We start from the raw sequence: 18,154 nt of genomic DNA, 5'->3' as shown, positions 1-18,154 counted from the left end.
CCGAAGCATCAGCATTCTGATCCCCACTTACCCACTGAGATCTGGGAAAGGGGGAGATGGGGGTTCTGGCAAGAGCCAGTCAGTCAAGTCCCTGGAAGGTGATGCAAGGATTCTGAGAGCTCCTTCTAGAAATTCCTGAGCCCTCAGATTAGTTCCCTTAAAATCATCCCACTTATCCCCTAACCACGACGCCAGCTACCACACACAGACTGGGGCTCTGCCACTCTGCTTTATTGGAACGGCTCCGCGTCTGAGAGCACAGCAGGCTCAACCCTGCTTCAGAGTGGAGGCCGGACCAGGCTGGTGGGTGACCAGCAGGACTCACGACACTTCCAACACAGGAAAGGCAAACTACAGACTGTGGGCACAGCACAGCACAGGACAGCACAGCCAATTGAGCTTTTCTTTTATATATAAACAAATAATTTAAAAATTCGAATAATATATAGAGTTTCTCTAGAGAGACACTTTGCAACAAAAAATATATATAAAGAATATGACCTCCTGGGTAAATGAAGCAGCATCTCTGAGCGGAGGAAAGAGGGTTCCTCATGCACTGGAGGGGGCGAAGCCTTTGGGCAGGCACAAAGGCCATTGCATATCTTGGAAAAGGTTGGAGGAGTAGAGGGCTGGCTAGTCAGGGTATCTGCATTATTTTCTCTACGTTGCAGGTTTTTTATGGCTTTGGCTAAAGCAAGTGAAGCAGCGGAGGTACTAAGGTGCTAAACTGAGGCCTCTTGGTCTCTGTGTACAAAACAAAAGGAGGGGGGCAGGGGACAGCCATCAAGCCCTCTTGAGCCTCCAGCTGAGTGGAAGCAAATGGAAGATCTTCAGGGCAGGGGGGAGGCTGGGGGATAGGGTTTAGCAGCCTCCTCCCCCCATACCCTCTGCAGCCCTGCACTCCCACACATCTGTCCCTGCTGATAGTGTCTATTGGAAGGGAGGCAGTTAATCTCCCCTACACTCTGTTGTTAATCCCTGACAGCAGCTGGAACAGAGATGGCAGAAAGGACCTATGTCAACCCCATGAGGCTTCTCCTTTGGGGCAGATAAACAGCCAGGAGCCTGGGGAAACAGGGATGAGAAGGGCATTGGTTTAGGCAGTGAGGCTCGGCCACTCCCTTGGGTCCCATCTGTAGCTCTGCCCACCAAACTTGATGGGGGGGGGATGGGGGAATATCCTCTGGATGAGCAGAGCCAGCTAAGAGGAGCCAAATGTCCCTGATAGGATGGGGGAGAGGCAGGACTGGGGGAATGTCAGGAGCTGGAATTGGTCCCAGAAGCCCTTCTGACTCATTCAGACCTGGACTCCTCCAGGATCTGGGGTAGGTTCTGATCCCGGGGGCCAGGGGCTGGGGCTGGAGTTGGGGCTGGGGCTGGGGCTGAGGCTGGAGCTTGGTTGGGAGCTGCTGTAGGGGTGGGGACCTGGGCAGGGCCTGAAGTGGGTAGGGGAGGTTTGCTGCCAGGATGGTACTCGTGGGCAGCCTTGGGCTCATTGGTATGGTAGGAGCCCTTATAGCGATGATTTTGCAGATAGAAGAGCACCAACATTCCCACCAGCCCCAGCAGCAGAAAGGCCACCAAAACTGAAAAGAAGAAAAGGGACAATTCAGATCTTTGGGATCTCACCTGTATACACACACACACACACACACACACACACACACACGCACTCTTTGAGATTTCACCTGTATACATACACACACTTTGGGATTTCACCTGCACACACACACACACACACACACACACACACACACATTTACTTTTGGCCAAAAGCATAATGTATGACCCTCAGTTAGCTGTTCGACCACACTAAACTCATCTCAAGTGTCTGGCAGGTTTGAATTCCTGGCTTACCCCCTGCCACCTTCTGTTTCTAATATTCTCTTTCCACATCCCTGGTAGTTACCCCAATTTCTTATCTCTCTAGGTGTTACTGTATCCCCATTTTCCCATCCCTTAGCTATAGTCTCATTTTAATATTTTATTTAAAAATCTGTAGCATCCTCAAACATCTAAAAATCTCTGCCCAGTTATATGTCACCTTCAGCATAGCCTGTCTCATCCTCAAACATCTAAAAATCTCTGCCCAGTTATATGGCACCTTCAGCATAGCCTGTCTCATCATCCTTTGTGCCATTGTGCATCTAGTGCCTTTGCCATCCTGCAGCCTTGGGGATCAGGGGCAGGGAAAGGATGCTGACAGTCAGAGGGTAGTCTTGGGAGGTCAGCTTAGTGATCAGTGCTACTCACAGCCTAAAAGTATGGCAACCCATCCTTCATCATGGTAGTAGGGGAAGTCTGGAGAGGAGAAAGCACCAGTTAGGAGATGCCTCCTCCATGTTAAGAATCATTCCCTTCCGTGTCATCCCTCCCTTCTGTCCTCTGTGTCCTGGGAATGTACCTGGGGGCAGATACCAGGGATCAAGCTCAGGTGGCACCTCTGAAACAAGACGTGGCATAGCTCCGCAATTAGATTCGGACAGTTCTCCCTGAACTCGAAGGGCCTCAGCTAGCTCAGCAGTCATGGGTCGAGGGGTTCGGAAGTGGGTCTTGAGGGGAGCCACGTTGTTGAATCGAACACCAGACAGGCAGCCTGAGAAACCTGGGGTGTTGTAGCGCTGGATCTCCGGGTCAATGACTCCTGTCTCTGAGAGAGAGGCAGGCCCAGAAAGAGGGACTTGGACCCAAAGGCCCTGCCACTCTCACTGTCCACAGGTTTCCCACTCATCCTTCCCACTGCCCTCAGCCATTCCCAGGGCCTTCACTTTCCTTGAGGATCCAGGAACATATGCCACAGCTCCTTGCCTAAAACGCGTCCGCACCCGCAGCTTACCCATCACACGCCCTAAATACAAGGCCTTGGGTGAGTCCAACTGGCTGTCCACCAACAGCGAGAACTTCTGCTCTGTCAGTGGGAAGTAGTCCACCTGAGGTGGGGAGGGGGAGGGGGAGGGCGATGAGGGAGCGGGGACCAGAAGCAGATGCCTGTGGGCTGGACTGGAACTGTGTGGACCCTGGGAATATACTTGGGGGCAGATACTGGAGATCTCTCATTCTGTCCAAACTGGCGGTGCCAGCTGGGTGAGTCCTAGCTCAATCTGAAGTGGGCAACCCCTGGGCCTAGATGTAGGATTTGGTATATATATTTTTATTATTATTATTTTATTTTATTTATTAAATATTTTTCTTTGTGAAGATGAGGTCTTGCTATGTTGCTCAGGTTGGTCTCAAACTCCTGGCCTCAAGCAGTCCTCCCACTTCAGCCTCCCAAAGTGTTGGGATTACAGGTGTGAGCCGCTGCACCTGGCCTATATATTTTTTAAAACCCTGGTTTTAAGCCCCATCTTTGCAGCTTACCAGCGGTTTGACTTTGGGTAAACCACTTTATTTTTTTGAGATGGAGTCTCACTCTGTCGCCTAGGCCTGGAGTGCAGTGGCACGATCTCAGCTCACTGCAACCTCCACCTCCCAGGTTCAAGCAATTTTCCTGCCTCACCCTCCTGAGTAGCTGAAACCGCTTTACTTTCTGAGGCTCTTTACTGATTTGTAAAACACTTAAATAAGAATGCCTATTGTCTGGCTGGGCGCGGTGGCTCACGCTTATAATCCCAGCACTTTGGGAGGCTGAGGTAGGCGGATCATCTGAGGTCGGGTGTTCGAGACCAGCCTGACCAACATGGAGAACTCCTGTCTCTACTAAAAATACAAAATTAGCTGGGCGTTGTGGCGCATGCCTGTAATCTCAGCTGCTCGGGAGGCTGAGGCAGAAGAATTGCTTGAACCCGGGAGGCAGAGGTTGCAGTGAGCTGAGATCACACCATTGCACTCCAGCCTGGGCAACAAGAGCAAAATTCCATCTCAAAAAAAAAAAAAAAATGCCTATTGTCCCCTTGGAGCTATTGTGAGGGTTACATGAGGTGACACACGTGAAAATCCTCTATACATTCAAATGTGATCTACAAATATTAAGTATTTGATGTTTTCCTGGATGCCACAACGGAGACCATGAGGTTATGATCTGAACTGGCTCACCTCCCTCTATGCATACCTGGATGAAGAGGTTCCGGTAAACACGGGTGATATTGATGCTATGGGGCTGGCCATCGGTCACTGGTCGAGTGGTTAGCTGGTACACGTAGGGACTGGTGCCCAGCTGATATCGCAGCTGAAGGGTCCCTGTGGGGTGGGGAGAAGAAATTTGGGGTCTCAGGCCCCATGACTCCTATCTTCTAACAGCACGTGGGTCCTTGTATTTGTGAATCAATAGGAGAATTAGGGGCACCGGGGTGAAGCTGGAGTGGGGTGAGAGAGCCCGGGAGAGCTTACCATCATCCTTGATGAGCACAGCCATGTAGTCACGAACAAAGGAACTGACGTAGAGCAGGACAGCAGGGGCGGAGCTGGTGCTGAAGCTGAAGGAGACCTCCTCTCCCGTAACGTTGTAGACAGGCCCACGGTAACCGGGCACAGGCCGACCAGGCCGGGGGTAGTCGGGCAGGCGGTACCCGGGGCCATGGTAGCCAGGCACATAGCCCGGAGTATCATAGCCCGGGATGTAGCCAGGCTCATAGCCTGGCACTGGCCGGCTCAGCATGTGGGAGAACTCCCTGGCTGCAGAGCGCAGCGCTGACTGTAGGTTATAGCGCATCCAGGTGCCCGGCTCAAAGAAACCACCAATATCTGCAGGTAGAAGCAGGGAGGTTAGGGCCCCCACACTGCTCACTCCCCAATTCAGAGGTTTTATGTCATCCATACACACATCCTGAGACTTACTTCAGTTTCTGCCACCCTCACAACCCTCCATTTACTTTTAGGTCCCCTTGAGCCCCTCTGTCACAGAACAGAATCTTACAGCCATGGGAAACTGGAGATCATCTGATCCAACCCCTGCATTTTACAAATGGGGAAACAGGCTCAGAGATGAGTAGTGACTTGCTTAAAGACACGCAGTAAGGCCAGGCACAGTGGCTCACACCTGTAATCCCAGCACTTTGGGAGGCCAAGGCAGGCAGATCATCTTGAGGTCAGGAGTTCGAGAACAGCCTGGCCAACATGGCAAAACCCCATCTCTACTAAAAATACAAAACTTAGCTAGGTGTGGTAGTGCATGCCTGTAATCCCAGCTACTATAGGAAAGCCAAGGCAGGAGAATTGCTTGAGCCCAGGGGGCAGAGGTTGCAGTGAGCCAAGATCATGCCACTGCACTCCAGCCTGGGTGATGGGGATATCCTGACCCCATGTAGTATATGTGCCACTACTCACACTTCCAAACCACCACCAGAAATCTGTTGGTCCCTAAGTCTTGTATCTCCCTAGTCCCCCACACTCCTCCCACCAGTAACCCACCTGCTCATATATCCTCCCTATAGGCCAGCCTTAGGGAGGATGCAGTCTTGGCATGTGTGTAGGATCTTGCTATGGGGAATGTCAAGGCTCACCTTAACCAAGAACTGGGTCATTGACATGTTTTAGGAATGCAGCAATCATCAAATACATTGACAAGGGAGTTCGCCTGTGTTACCATGGTGATGGTGGGAAGATGGAGAAGCGATTTGCTTTTTTTTTTTTTGTAGACACAGTCCTTGCTGTGCCCCCCAGGCTGGAGTGCAGTGGCACGATCATAGCTCACTGCAGCCTTGACCTCCTAGGTGCAAGTGATCCTCCCACCTCAGCCTCCCGAGTAGCTAGGCCTAAGTGTGCACCACCATGCCCAGCTAATTAAAAAATTTTGCCAGGCGCTGTGGCTCACGTCTGTAATCCCAGCACTTTGGGAGGCCAAGGTGGGTGGATCACCTGCGGTCAGAAGTTCGTGACCAGCCTGGCAAGCGTGGTGAAACCCCATCTCTACTAAAAATACAAAAATTAGCCGGGTGTGGTGGCACACACTTGTAATCCCAGCTACTTGGAAGGCTGAGGCAGGAGAATCGCTTCAGCCCGGGAGGTGGAGGTTGCAGTGAGCCGAGATCGAGTCATTACACTCCAGCCTGGGCAACAAGAGTGAAACTCAGTCTCAAAAAAAAAAAAGAAAAAAGAAATTATTTTGGCCAGACGCGGTGGCTCACGCCTGTAATCCCAGCACTTTGGGAGTCTGAGGCAGGCAGATCACAAGGTCAAGAGTTCGAGACCAGCCTGGCCAATGTGGTGAAACCCCATCTCCACTAAAAATACAAAAATTAGCCAGGCATGGTGGTGCACATCTGTAGTCCTAGCTACTCGGGAGGCTGAGGCAAAAGAATCGCTTGAACCAGGCGGAGGTTGCAGTGAGCCGAGATCGTGCCACTGTACTCTAGCCTGGGTGACAGAGCGAGATTCCATCTCATAAAAAAAAAAAGAATTTTTTTTGTAGAGACAGGGTCTTGCCATGTTGCCCAGGCTGGTCTCGAACTCCTAGCCTCAAGCAATCCTCCCACCTTGGGCTCCCAAAGCATACTTGGTGATTTTGAGATATTTTTGCACCAGCTATCTGTACCATCCCTTCCTTGTCCATGCCTTTGGAGTCACCCATGATCTTCAACTGCCTAACTCCCCAAACTCAGAGCTCAGGAATCCAGGGACAACTCTAATTTTCCATGATATGGGCTTTACATGCTATTTCCTTCCCTGCCCTCCCTACATCCCATTACACCCTATGGCTCCCTGTTGCCCCATAACCAGCAGCACTTACCGTGGTTGCAGTATGGCCCATCAAAAGCCGTGAGGTCACAGTCACACGTGTAGTAGCTATAGCGCTCCACGCAGCGGCCTCCATGGAAACAGGGGAGCCGAGGGTGGGCACAGTGGCCTGTGCAGTTGGGTGAGGTACCCTCAGAGGCATTGGCACGGCCCTCCAGGTTCAGAGTCACTCCGTTCAGACGCATGGCCCTCAAGCAACCCACAAAGGGGCGTCTCTTAAGCTCTGCAGATCCTGGGAAGGGTAGGCAACAGGTCAAGAAATGGAGGCAGGGCCAGGCGCGGTGGCTCACGCCTGTAATCCCAGCACTTTGGGAGGCCGAGGCGGGCGAATCACGAGCTCAGGAGATCGAGACCATCCTGGCTAACATGATGAAACCCCGTCTCTACTAAAAAATACAAAAAAAATTAGCTGGGCACGGTGGCGGGCGCCTGTAGTCCCAGCTACTCGGGAGGCTGAGGCAGGAGAACTGCTTGAACCCAGGAGGCGGAGCTTGCAGTGGGCCGAGATCGTGCCACTGCACTCCAGCCTGGGTGACAGAGCGAGACTCCGTCTCAAAAAAAAAAAAAAAAGAAAAGAAATGGAGGCAGAGCCAGAGACAGGATGAAGTATTGTAGTTGGAAAGGGAGCCAAGAGGGCTGGAAGAATAGAATAGGATACAAAGGCCTGGAGGGACAAGTGAGACACTGGCTTGCTCTGAAGCAGAGGGGACTGGCACCTAAGACAGGAGGCTCCTGGAAACAAGGCGAGTGGCCTTGGAGGATGGGGAGGTAAAGGAGGCTTCAGACTTGCCTCTGGGTTGCTGCTTACCCACATAGAGGGGCTGGTCATACTCCATCCAGATGTAGGTCTGCAGTGGCATAGGCCGCAGAACCCAGGGCCGGTGATCCACTCGGAGCCGGGCCTGCTTCACGTTGATTTCAGCCCGGACCAGGTGCCACTCGTCATCATTGAACTCAAAGTCGTCTGAGTGTACTGTGAGGTTCTCATCCCCATTCCCCACATCAAAGGCGAAGACCACATCCCGGGATGCTGGACAGTGTGATGCAGGGTAGGGGAGAAAAGGACTCAGACCTACAAGACCCTTCATAGATCCTTGCCCAATATAACCTCTTTCCCTCACCTCTTTGGAGCTTCTTGAATATCCCTCCAATTTGTCTGTAGCTTGCATTGAAACTTACCAGCTGCTTAAAAACCTCATACCCTTTGTCTCTCCCCACATCACAGATCCCTGAAGCCAGCTTCCCAGCCTCACTTCCCAGGCTAGAAGCATGGCTAATCAGCGGTGAGAGGGACTCGAAGGTCCAGCTTCCTTATGGCACAAGGAAGGGGCTTAAGGCCAAGAGAGGCCAAGTGAATGCCTAGGGTCACCCAGCCAGCCGTCAAGACCGAGTGAGGGCTAGAACATAGGGTATCTCAACCCTTCCCATGCTGCCTGTCAAAAGGGCATCTGCCCTTGGCTCCAACCCCAGCCTACCCCTGTCTCCCCAGACAGCACTTTCATCTACCCCGAGGCCCTCCCACAGTCTGCCTGCTCACTGTTGAGTTCCACCCGCACATAAGGTCGGCGCCACTGGCAGTAAGGGCCCCCCATATTCTCTAGGAAGACCCCCGAGGGAGCAGAGGTCCTGAAGTAGAAGGAGACATCCAGGCTGTGGTTGGCACGGATTGGGGGGAAGCGTAGTGCAGCCCCGGTGTGGAAGGAAATGGTGTTCCAGGAATTTCCTAGAAAAGCAGATGGAGGAAGGTCTTGTCAGGGAGATTGGAGGGTGGAGGAGGAAGAGAACCTGGGGTTGGGGGCAGGGAAGGTTGGGCAAAGGGGGAGGGTTTGAGGTGACGGAGGGGAGACTAAGGAGTGGAATGAAAGAGGAGCCAGGTGCAGAGGGGTAATGAGATCGCATCACAGCAGGAGCTGGGGGTCGGGCACCCCAGCTAGAGACCACCAGTGACATGCGGCCTAGATTTTGGAAACTGGAGAGTCAGCTCTGGGAGGGCACACAAAAGGGGACTGCCACTCACGATCGCCATAGCAGCGCAGAGGCCTCAGGAAGAACTGGGCCTCAGAAGTGGAGCGGTTCGTATCCCCTATCACTACCTGAGTGACAGGCAGATGGTCCACAAAGGTCAGCAGTCCCTTGTCAGTTCTCCTGTGGGGGCAGGATGTCATGGCTCAGCCCCAGCCACTCAGCTCCTCCCACTCCCGGAGTCCTAAAAACCCTGTCCCTTTGCCCCCTCACCACTGGGGCTGGTCAGCGTCACAGTTGCAGTACAAGGCAGGGTCCACACAGCTCCGGTCCAGACCACAGGCACAGCGCTGGATCCCAGGCTGGGAGCCTCCCCAGTAGAAGTGCTGCTCCTCATTTCGGCCAATCCAAAAGCTGTAGGGGTAGCCTCCTGGGGAAGAGGTGCAGGCAGCTTCCAGGCCCTGTCCCTCCATTAGCCTCTGGGCTCCTCTCGCCCTTCCAGCGAGTTCAGACCCCTCCTTGAATCTTCCAACCCAAGGCCCCAGCTGGCTCTCTGGCTTCCTTCTCCCAGGCCCCCATTGGTGTCTCCTCCAGTTCCGCCACCTCCCTGACCCCAGCCCTAACCTGCAGTGTTGAGCAGCCGGGAATTGTAGCAGGAGAACTCGATCCACTGTTCACAATGCTGGGAAGCATTGGCAAGGGCACTGACTTCCTCCCAGGATGCATTCCAGTACTGGATAGCCCCCAGGAATGGCCGCTCCATGCTGGAACCTGTCACTCGAGTTGTCCACAGCCTGTCATGCCGCACAACTGTCCACGCTCGGTTCTCTGGCAGACAAGAGGGGACAGAGCTTTGGCTGGAGTTGGGCATTCTCTACCCATCTCCCTGCCCACCTCCACCACCGCTGCTGCAACTCAGAGCCACTGAACGTGGCCAGCAGCTCCATTCCACCTCTGCCCTGGGCACTCTGCATTGTAGGCTGGAAATAAGATAGCTGGAATGGGTAAGGAAGCTGGGATATACTTTTTTTTTTTTTTTTTTTGAGATGAAGTCTCGCTCTGTTGCCCAGGCTGGAGTCCAATGGCGCTATCTCAGCTCACTGCAACCTCCACCTCCCAGGTTCAAGTGATTCTCCTGCCTCAACCTCCCGAGTAGCTTCCCAAAGTGCTGGGATTACAGGTGTGAGCCACCACGCCTGGCTTGGGATTTACTTTTAAGGCTAGGTTACAAATTCCTCAGTATGCCCTTCCCCTCTGTCCTCCTTTACCCTCACTTGTTTAGTCTAACTGGCCCCCACCCACCACTCTATCCTTCCTGGTTCTCCCCTCACCCCCTCACCACCCAACAGAGACACTTACCTCGGATATCACAGTACACTACAAATGGCTTCAGGGGGCCACTGCCATCAGGATCAATGGTGAAGTTTCCAGAAGTTTTCCCACTGAGCCGATAAGCCTCACAGGATTCCTTATACAAAGCTGGCAGATAATAGGTTGAGACAAAGGCAGTTAGAGAGTTAGAGGGCTGGCCAGGTGCGGCGGCTCGGGCCTGTAATCCCAGCACTTTGGGAGGCCGGGGTGGTGCATCACCCGAGGTCAGGAGTTCGAGACCAGCCTGGCCAACATGGTGAAACCCCATCTCTAATAAAAATATAAAAATTAGCTAGGCGTGGTGGTGTGCACCTGTAGTCCCAGCTACTTAGGAGGCTGAGGCAGGAGAATCGCTTGAACCCAGGAGGCAGAGGTTGCAGCGAGCCCAGATGGCACCACTGCACTCTAGCCTGGGCAACAGAGCAAGACTCTGTCTCAAAAAAACCAAAAACAAAAAGCGAGAGGGCTGGAAGGGCCATCCTCGCCATCTCTAGCAGCCTGATGATCCCCAGCAACCTTCTATTGACCTCCCTTGTCCCTGACTCCCCCCATACCACATCTGGCTTACGTGTGTGGCAGGTCTCTCCCTTGTAGCCCGTCAGTTCGCAGTAGCAAATGAAGTCATCCCAAGACTGGTAGCAGCGTCCATCATGCTCACACATGTTAGGGCTGCACCTAGGGAAGGGGTCAGGACCAAGGGAAGGAGCCTTACTGGGAGCTGGAGAGTGGGGTCTGATCCCTGCAAGCTTCACTCCCAGCTCCTTGAAGCCCCAGAACCCGGTGAGACACACCCCGCCTAGCCAGCCGGGTATAAGCGCAGATGCAGGGGCACTAGGCAGTCCTCAGGGCTCAAGTACTACTATTCCCCCTTCCTGAAAACATCAAAACATGCCTTATTCTACCCCTATCATCCCCCTAGCACAAAAAACCCCTCTAGGACCAAAAGCAAATGTGTCATTTCCATCCTGAGCATGTATCACCTTAAGGGAAGAAATAGGAGGTAAGAGATCAAAGAAGAATCATCCCCAAGCAGGGGACTAAGGAGCAGAGACAAGGAGAAGGGAGATTATTGAAAGAGGCCATTCCTACTGGGAGACCAGGGAAGAGGGCTTTGGAGGGGTCATCTCTTGTTAGGGGCTTCTGGGTACCTATCAGTGATGCCACATGTATCAAAGAGGACCTCAGCATAGAATCCAAGCCGCCGGCCCTCCACCAGAGTCAGGTTGACCAGTTGACCATCCACCTTGAGCAGCTCCATGCAGCCATGGAATGCCGTCTGGTTGGAGTGGCAGTCCCATCGACTGGCTGGCTTGGGACAACCTGGAGCAACCACCCCTGTGAGATCCTCCCCAGGGGAGACCCCAAAGACCCTCCCCCAGGGACATGCTGAGGGGGAGCCAGACATAAAGGAAGAAAGGGGACTACAACCAAAGTGTAGATGGCAATGACCTTCCACTCCCTGAGGCCCCAGAGGGGAAGAGGGCTTGATCCCTCCAAAATTCTCCATGTGGCCCCATCTGGGTGGACTTAGATGGAGCCTTCCCACCCAGAAACAGAGGTCTGGTCAGGTTGGCCCCCACTTACCCCCAAAGAAATATGAGGTCCCTGTCCGGATCAGCAACGGGTATGAGACCCTGACCTCTGCCCCTTCCACATCATCAATGCTGATAACTGCATGGTTTTCCTGTGCCACAAAATTCACCTCGTGCCAAAAGCCGTCATTCAGTCGGTACCCTGGACAAGAATGGATGATGGTGTGGGTGGAGGGAAGCAGCAACTAGGGTAGAAGAATGTTCTGAGTGGGGAAGCAGCAGCCCCACTGTGTCCCAGTAGCAGCCTGTGTGCCCCCGTGATTACACTTCTCACACCCAGTGGAGACCTCTCTGAATGTCTCTTCATTATCCATGACCCAGCAACTGCCACAGAGTCTGCACAGTTATAAACGAGTAACCAAATCTCCAGGGGCCTTCTGGAACTGGAGAATACCAGGACTCCCAGGCTTCCCCCTTCTCCAAGAATACTTAGTCCCTCAGATTCGCCTCCTCACTGCCTCTAGCCACTCCCACCTTTTCCCAGTACCCTGGGGCCTCCTGCCCTGCCCCCTTCACTCCTCTCCCCTCTCCAGAATGTAAAGGCCTCAGTCCAGGCCTACAACTTTCCTGGGATCCTCTACACTTCTCTTCTCTTCTTGTGCCTCCCCCGAAACGCCCTCACCAGCAGCGAACTGAAGCTTCTTTCGGCCGCTCTGCGCGATGGACACGTTGACCTGCCCTTCGCTGAGCGTCAGCTCCACGTGGCCCAGCCCGTCCCCCAGACGGGAGAAAAGGAGAAGCCCGGTGAGGTCCCAGGTGCGGAAGCGAAATGAGACTGCCAGGCGGCCACGGCGTGGGAAACCGGGCACTTGAACGAAGTTGTGAGGGCCTCCGAAGTTGATAGGGTGCGGTACCGGGTCCAGGCAACGAAAAGCCACCTTACCCTAGGGGCAAAAGTGAAGACGCATCAACACCCGTGAGCCGCCTCTGCCTCAGCTGGGAATTCAGTTTTCACACCGGTCTAAGACCCTGGTCACCGCCCTCCTTCGGTGTTGGCGGGGGTGAGATCTCCAACCATGACGTGACCTCTTCCCCTCCAAGCTCGTCCATCTGTGGAGGGGGCCCCAACCCAGTCGGCCCTCGGAACTCTGCTCGCTTGCTCTCGCTGATCTCCACCGTCTGCGATTCGACCGCTTCTCTCCTTCCAGTATCGAGAGGCAATTTTGGACCACAGACCTGGCTCCTGCCAGCTTCCCAACAGAGCTCCAGAGTCGGAGAGGGTTGAGGGGGGCATATCAGAGAAGCCATCGGTTCAAGTCCCTACTCAGCCACCGTGCAGCTGCACGACCCCTGGACAAGCCACTCCCTGTGTCTGCGCCTTACTTTCTTCATCTATGAACTAAGAAGGTGATTGGACCCGACCACTGCTTCTTAACTAGGGGCCTGCGTGGCTCATGCACCTCAGGTGAGACCCGCTCCCCTCCCAACTTGAGCATCTGGCTGGGGACAGAGGGATTCTCCGCTTTTATCTGATGTTCAATATCTCTTCCCGCTCCACCTCTTTGCTTTCCACGACGCTTTGATATCCTGTCCTCCCAGACCCCCCTGCCCACTGGCCTCGAAGGTGATCCGGGAATGGCGCCGCACGGCCAGGTCTGCGATGTTGACGCGGTTGAAGATTACGTTTTCTATGCAGCCGCGGAAGTTATGCCGATAGGCCAGGTTCTTCCGCGCGGCGCCCACCAGACCTCCGATGAACATCTGCGGGAGGCGTGGGGAATGAGGCCTCTTGGGCACAGGAGGGCGCCTGCCTTTCTCGCGCGTCCCCGCCGTATGCTTTCCCAAATGCCAGATGGGGTTTTGTAAAAGACTTAAAACACACATTTCCCCAGTGTCGGTACTAAAGCTCGCTAGGCCTTTCAAGGCTTGAGTTCAAGCTCTGACTCCAACACAAATCGGCTGCACGCCCTTGGGCAAGTCAATTAGCCTGCCTGGGATTCTTATCTGCAGATGGGGTCAGGGTCTTTAACAACTCCACAAAGTTGTGGGAGGATCCAAGGGAACAATTTTCCTACCTTGCCTAGTCCCCAAAATCTGAATTTCCAAACCCCATCTCATTAGTTCTGAAATAGTGCCTGGGAGTCTGCATGCTAACAGCAACAACACCCACAAAAAAAAAAAAAAAAAAAAAAAACAGGCCTTTTTCTGGTGAGTGGCAAGTTTGCCAAGGGCTGCTAGGATATTCAGGAATTGGAATGCGAGGTCTTTGAAAAAAAAAATTTTTTTAAATAGAGGTAGGATGTCACTATGTTGCCCAGGTGAGTCTTGAACACCTGGCCTCAAGCAATCCTCCCACCTCAGCCTCCCAAAGTGCTGGGATTACAGGCATGAGCCACCACCCACAGCCTGAATGCCAGGTCTTTCCTCTGAGAGACAGAGGAAAAGAGAAAGGGAGAGACCGACCTGCACTCACTCATCCAGCATCTACCCTACCACGAAATAGCACCTCCCTAGTCTCTCACCTCAGTGTCCAGGTTCAGCCTCTCGAAGTCTCCATTGAGAATAAAGCGCTGCACATAGCCGTCCAGGGTGAAATTTACATCGCGGCCAAATCGGTCCACCCGCACATAGTGCCAGTGCTGGTCATTGAGGACTCCGCCTGCGCTCACGGTGGTGTGACCTGGTCTTGGCTGGATAGGGCTGCTGCCTGAGGGTGGGGCAGGACAGAGTGAAACCTCAAGCCAGGAGAACTCCATGGAGTCCAAGCTCCTAGGCAGAGCAGCAGCGTGTAACAAAGCCCAGGGCAATCAGGGAGAGTGGGCGAATAGATCAACAGCCATTGGCGAGTGTGTGACAGGGTAAGCCATTTAGCCTGGCTTCCTGTCTGTAAAACTGGGAACACATGAGCTGCTTCTATTTCATGTGCGGGTGTTATGAAAAGCTAATGAGATACAATGTGTGTGCGTCTGTGTGTGTGTGTTTACAAGGAGGGAACTGAGGCTCGGAAGTGCCCCATCCGAGGTCACATCTCTGTGTAGTGGTAGAGCTGAGACTGGAATCCAGTTCTCACTCAACTCCAGTGTTTTGCTAGCACCAAATGCTACAAGAAAGGGGCAGTTTGGTCCAGGCCTTAGAGAAGTGGAAGACCAGGCTGAGCGCGGATGCGCGGAGGAGGTGCCACGAGGAGGGCGGTGAGAGAGCTTCAGGGGTTGGCTCCGCATCGCACATGGTCGCCGAGCTCACCCAGGCTCATGTGCAGCAGCAGGTGTGCCCCCTCCAGCTCGAGCGTCACGTAGTCGCCCTGGGCGCCCTCGGCGTGCAGCAGAAGACCGTCCTTCTCCTCGGTCTTGAAGCTGAAGGCGAACACGTCCCACAGGCTTCGGCTGACCCCTCGCGGGAAGCGGTAGGAGATGGCATCGTCGCCGTCGAAATAGAGTATGTCGGCCTCTGCGCAAAGGACCGTAGGTGGGCCGGGAACTGGGGAGGCTGTCTCCCAGGCCCCCTCCGCGCTCTCTGCACACTTACTGTATGGGCAGCCATAGAGGCCGAGCCTCAGGCCGATCTTGCCGCGTGGGTTCCAGGCCAGGGGCACGATGCGGATGTAGCGCGCAGTGAAGTGGAAGTGCAGGTCATGGCGCACCACCGCCGACTCGTTCACGTTACCAAAGAAGGTCTGCGGGGGTGGAGGAGAGTAGTAACCACGTCCTGCCCTCTGCTTCTTTTTTTTATTTTATTTTTTGAGACAGAGTCTCGCTCTGTCGCCCAGGCTGGAGTGCGGTGGTACGATCTCGGCTCACCGCAACCTCTGCCTCCCGGGTTCAAACAATTCTCTTCCTCAGCCTCCCAAGTAGCTGGGATTACAGGCGCCCGCCACTACGCCCGGCTGATTTTTTTGTATTTTTCATAGAGACGGGGTTTCACCATGTTGGCCAGGCTGGTCATGAACTCCTGACCTCGTGATCCACCTGCCTCGGCCTCCCAAAGTGCTGGGATTACAGGCGTGAGCCACTGCGCCCGGCCCCCCTCTGCTTCTTTCTCCATAGCCTCCCAGCCCACAACTTTCACACCCAGCCAATCTCGACTTCTGGAAAGTAAACACTCCTTGGTCTTCCCTGCTTGGCGGCTTTGCCCGCACAGTTTCCATAAAGTGCCCTGTCCCACAATCCTATTATTTCCTCAGACCTGAAATCAAATGTCACCTCCTTAGGAAGCTCTCCCAGGTTTTACCCTAAAGTGTGTTAAACCCTGTGAACCGAGTGTTTCGCGCACGTCCTAAGCTGACAGTCCCTCTGGACAGAGTCCCTGGAGTGGAGTCACTGCTCCTTGTCCGAGCCCTCACCACCACCCCCTCCATTTTCCCAGAGGCTGGTGCCCGGCCCAGAGCCTGGAGCAGAGGAAGCTCCCCAAGTGTTACCGCCTTGGCGCCCAGAGTACCGAGTTGTGCCCTCGCTGGTAGAACGGTGTCCAGCTGTCCACTCGGTCGCCGTAGAGTAGCATGTAACGTGTGACCCAGTCCCAAGAATTAAAGGAGCCCTGTGTGGCCACGGCCCGGATCCGGTGCTTCTTCATTAAGTCTATCTGGAGCCAGGGATTCGGATCCCCAATCCGTGGTGACCACCCGCTTATGCCTATAGAAAGGACAGGAGCTTTAACCGGCTATCCCTCTCCCCGAAGTCCTCCGGAGGCCCCCACCCTTCCGCGGTGCGCTGCCAGTTGGCAGCTGATGTTCCGCGGAGCTCACCGTGCAGCCTGGCGAATCTCGGCGCAGTAAGGAGACTGTAGTAGGAGGAGGCGCCCAGGGAGCGTGCATACAGGGGACCCACCAGCTCCTCGTCGCAGCCGTCTAGGGTAGGGAAACCGACTGTTAGTCAGCGCTGGCCCCTCCCAGACCCTTCCAAAGGCCGGCCCACTTAGCGACCGAAGCTTCCCCTTCCGTGCCCCCAACCCCCGCCCCCAGAGGCACACCCAGCCCTACCTTAAAGCCATCTATTCAATCCTGGCTGCAGCAACAGCTGCATGCTCAGAGGAGGCTACCTTCTCCTTCTAGGCAAACCCCTAGGCTACACCTATAGGCCCAAGGCCAGACCCTCCCTAGCTAGCCCAATACCTGCCCTGGTTTAGTACTTTCCCAAACTCAATCCTAAACCTCAGCATCTTCCACAACCTAAGTCAACCCAAGACACCAATCCAGCTCCAACCCTAGCCTCAATCCAACTCGGCCCCCAAAACCTGCACCATCCCCAAATACAGGCCTTGCACCCAACCTCAGCCAGTGCTAGCACCATCACCAGCTCCATGTCCAGCCTTAGCATCAGTCAGGGGCACCAGCTCCTGCTTGGATCCCTGCCACAAAACCCAGCCCCAGCCACAAACCCCAGCCCTAGCCACAAACCCCACCCCTTGGCCAGCTCCAAAGTCCAGCCTTAAGCCCTGGCAAAACCTTAATCCTAGTATCGGTCACCAGTATACACTTATCCCCCAGCCCTAGCCTCAAACCCAGGCACCAGCTCCTGCTTGGATCCCAACCCCAAATCCCTGCCCGCTGACTTCATCCTCTTCCCAGAGCCCAGCCCCAGCCCCGGGCGCGCGCGGCAGCCTCAGAGCTGCAATGCGGAGCGCGGGGGAGAGGCAGGAAAAGATGAGAGCCAGCGGGCGCGCGCCGGCCGGGAAGGACCCGCGACCACCCAGCCGCAATGCGGTTCGGGGCCGCCCTGCAGGCTCTGGACTCCTGGGCCCAACCCCACCTGCCTCCAAGCCCAACACTCACAGTAGCCCCAGCCCTCGGCTCCTGAGACCGCGGCGAGCAGGATGCAGAAGAGCCGGAGATGCATCATGCAGGGCTGACGGTCCCGGCAGCCGCCTCCCTGTGAACGGCTCCGGCTAGGGCTCGAGTTCTGGCTTGGGCTCCAAGCTCTCCTCCTGGGGTTTGCAGCAGACCGCTCTCTCCTCCTTACCCACCCTTCCCTCCCTCTCTCCTTTCGCCCCCAAGCGCTCTGTCTCTCCTCTCTCTTTTCTCTCTCTCTCTCTCTGGTTCCTGGTCCTCCGCTCTTCTCTCTCTATCCTCTCCTTTCCACCCTCTTTCCTCTCACCTCCCCCCTTCCCCAGCCTCTGTCTCCTGGCACGCGCCGGTTTCCCGGACCCCGCGCAAGCGCGTGCCTCAGCCCTGCTGCGAAAGGGCGGGGGTAGAGAGCCTCTCGCCACCGGGAAAACCCCAAGTAACCCGAGGCTGCCCGGGACTAGGGCCACAGGAGTGAGGACAGGGAACCTAGGGCCAGAAGCATCCTGAAAATTTCAAGAAAAGGGAGGTGGTTTGGGGGAGGGGTGCCTGGAAATGGAATGAAGGGTAAGTAAAAGAATCTTAACATTTTCGGAAGGCAAATTATGCTCTAGGAGTGGTGCTGGGCACTGTGAATTTAGCATTTTTGCCCTACTCCACTTTGCAGATGAAAAACCTCAGGCTCAGAGAGGTCAAGAAACTTAGTCAATATCACACAGCAAATGATTATATTCCGAAGCCCGTTCTTTCTTCACTGACAAAGACAGTAAATTATTTTTTCTTTCTTTCGTTCATTCTTTTTTCTTTCTTTCCTTCCTTTTTTTCTTTCTTTCTTTCT

General features: G+C 54.5%; 1 protein-coding gene across 1 annotated transcript, besides 8 other annotated features; it reads right to left on the bottom strand.

The window, feature by feature from the left end:
* On the bottom strand, positions 211-17,673 carry CNTNAP1 (contactin associated protein 1). Its single transcript, NM_003632.3, has 24 exons — positions 17,308-17,673; positions 16,282-16,383; positions 15,975-16,168; positions 15,066-15,213; positions 14,784-14,987; positions 14,063-14,247; positions 13,158-13,301; positions 12,223-12,484; positions 11,593-11,742; positions 11,157-11,328; positions 10,577-10,683; positions 9,997-10,116; positions 9,262-9,465; positions 8,911-9,067; positions 8,693-8,820; positions 8,213-8,398; positions 7,484-7,705; positions 6,668-6,907; positions 4,330-4,683; positions 4,052-4,179; positions 2,837-2,930; positions 2,405-2,650; positions 2,254-2,301; positions 211-1,586 (listed from the first exon to the last, which is right to left on the bottom strand). The coding sequence occupies exons 1-24, from the start codon at positions 17,372-17,374 to the stop codon at positions 1,294-1,296; spliced, it is 4,155 nt and encodes a 1,384-aa protein (NP_003623.1). The 5' UTR covers positions 17,375-17,673; the 3' UTR covers positions 211-1,293.
* Positions 320-1,501: a transcriptional cis regulatory region, noted in NCBI's record as "flanking sgRNA range for +46 kb region targeted for CRISPR/Cas-9-mediated deletion". NCBI's record gives its function as "positively regulates EZH1 gene expression in K562 erythroleukemia cells {active_cell/tissue: K562}" and the evidence as "EXISTENCE:mutant phenotype evidence [ECO:0000015][PMID:25578878]".
* Positions 320-1,501: an enhancer, noted in NCBI's record as "+46 kb enhancer region used in reporter constructs". NCBI's record gives its function as "activates an SV40 promoter by reporter assays in K562 erytholeukemia cells {active_cell/tissue: K562}" and the evidence as "EXISTENCE:reporter gene assay evidence [ECO:0000049][PMID:25578878]".
* Positions 8,804-9,303: an enhancer, noted in NCBI's record as "H3K4me1 hESC enhancer chr17:40842919-40843418 (GRCh37/hg19 assembly coordinates)". NCBI's record gives its function as "activates a minimal SCP1, AML or CMV promoter by ChIP-STARR-seq in primed H9 embryonic stem cells {active_cell/tissue: H9 hESC(primed)}" and the evidence as "EXISTENCE:reporter gene assay evidence [ECO:0000049][PMID:30033119]".
* Positions 11,944-12,472: an enhancer, noted in NCBI's record as "H3K4me1 hESC enhancer chr17:40839750-40840278 (GRCh37/hg19 assembly coordinates)". NCBI's record gives its function as "activates a minimal SCP1, AML or CMV promoter by ChIP-STARR-seq in primed H9 embryonic stem cells {active_cell/tissue: H9 hESC(primed)}" and the evidence as "EXISTENCE:reporter gene assay evidence [ECO:0000049][PMID:30033119]".
* Positions 16,139-16,433: a silencer, noted in NCBI's record as "tiled region #245; HepG2 Repressive non-DNase unmatched - State 16:ElonW, and K562 Repressive non-DNase unmatched - State 7:EnhWF". NCBI's record gives its function as "represses a minimal TATA promoter and a strong SV40 promoter by Sharpr-MPRA in HepG2 and K562 cells {active_cell/tissue: HepG2 | K562}" and the evidence as "EXISTENCE:reporter gene assay evidence [ECO:0000049][PMID:27701403]".
* Positions 17,219-17,268: an enhancer, noted in NCBI's record as "active region_12221". NCBI's record gives its function as "activates an Ori minimal core promoter by ATAC-STARR-seq in GM12878 lymphoblastoid cells {active_cell/tissue: GM12878}" and the evidence as "EXISTENCE:reporter gene assay evidence [ECO:0000049][PMID:35858748]".
* Positions 17,522-18,140: an enhancer, noted in NCBI's record as "H3K4me1 hESC enhancer chr17:40834082-40834700 (GRCh37/hg19 assembly coordinates)". NCBI's record gives its function as "activates a minimal SCP1, AML or CMV promoter by ChIP-STARR-seq in primed H9 embryonic stem cells {active_cell/tissue: H9 hESC(primed)}" and the evidence as "EXISTENCE:reporter gene assay evidence [ECO:0000049][PMID:30033119]".
* Positions 17,529-17,578: an enhancer, noted in NCBI's record as "active region_12220". NCBI's record gives its function as "activates an Ori minimal core promoter by ATAC-STARR-seq in GM12878 lymphoblastoid cells {active_cell/tissue: GM12878}" and the evidence as "EXISTENCE:reporter gene assay evidence [ECO:0000049][PMID:35858748]".

Source organism: Homo sapiens, chromosome 17 (genome assembly GCF_000001405.40).
Source record: "Homo sapiens chromosome 17, GRCh38.p14 Primary Assembly".
Lineage (NCBI taxonomy): Eukaryota > Metazoa > Chordata > Mammalia > Primates > Hominidae > Homo > Homo sapiens.
The sequence above is the reverse complement of the archived record's forward strand: the minus strand, read 5'-3'. Positions and strand labels throughout refer to the sequence as shown.

What these genes read in the sequence shown, in the direction of transcription:
- CNTNAP1 (NM_003632.3), bottom strand. Translation starts at nt 17,374, where the DNA reads ATGATGCATCTCCGGCTCTTCTGCATCCTGCTCGCCGCGGTCTCAGGA. An exon ending in GACCTCATATTTCTTTGGGG is followed by an intron (nt 11,329 to 11,592) that starts GTAAGTGGGGGC and finishes TGGTTGCTCCAG; the next exon opens with GTTGTCCCAAGCCAGCCAGT. An exon ending in GGGAGAGACCTGCCACACAC is followed by an intron (nt 10,117 to 10,576) that starts GTAAGCCAGATG and finishes ATTATCTGCCAG; the next exon opens with CTTTGTATAAGGAATCCTGT.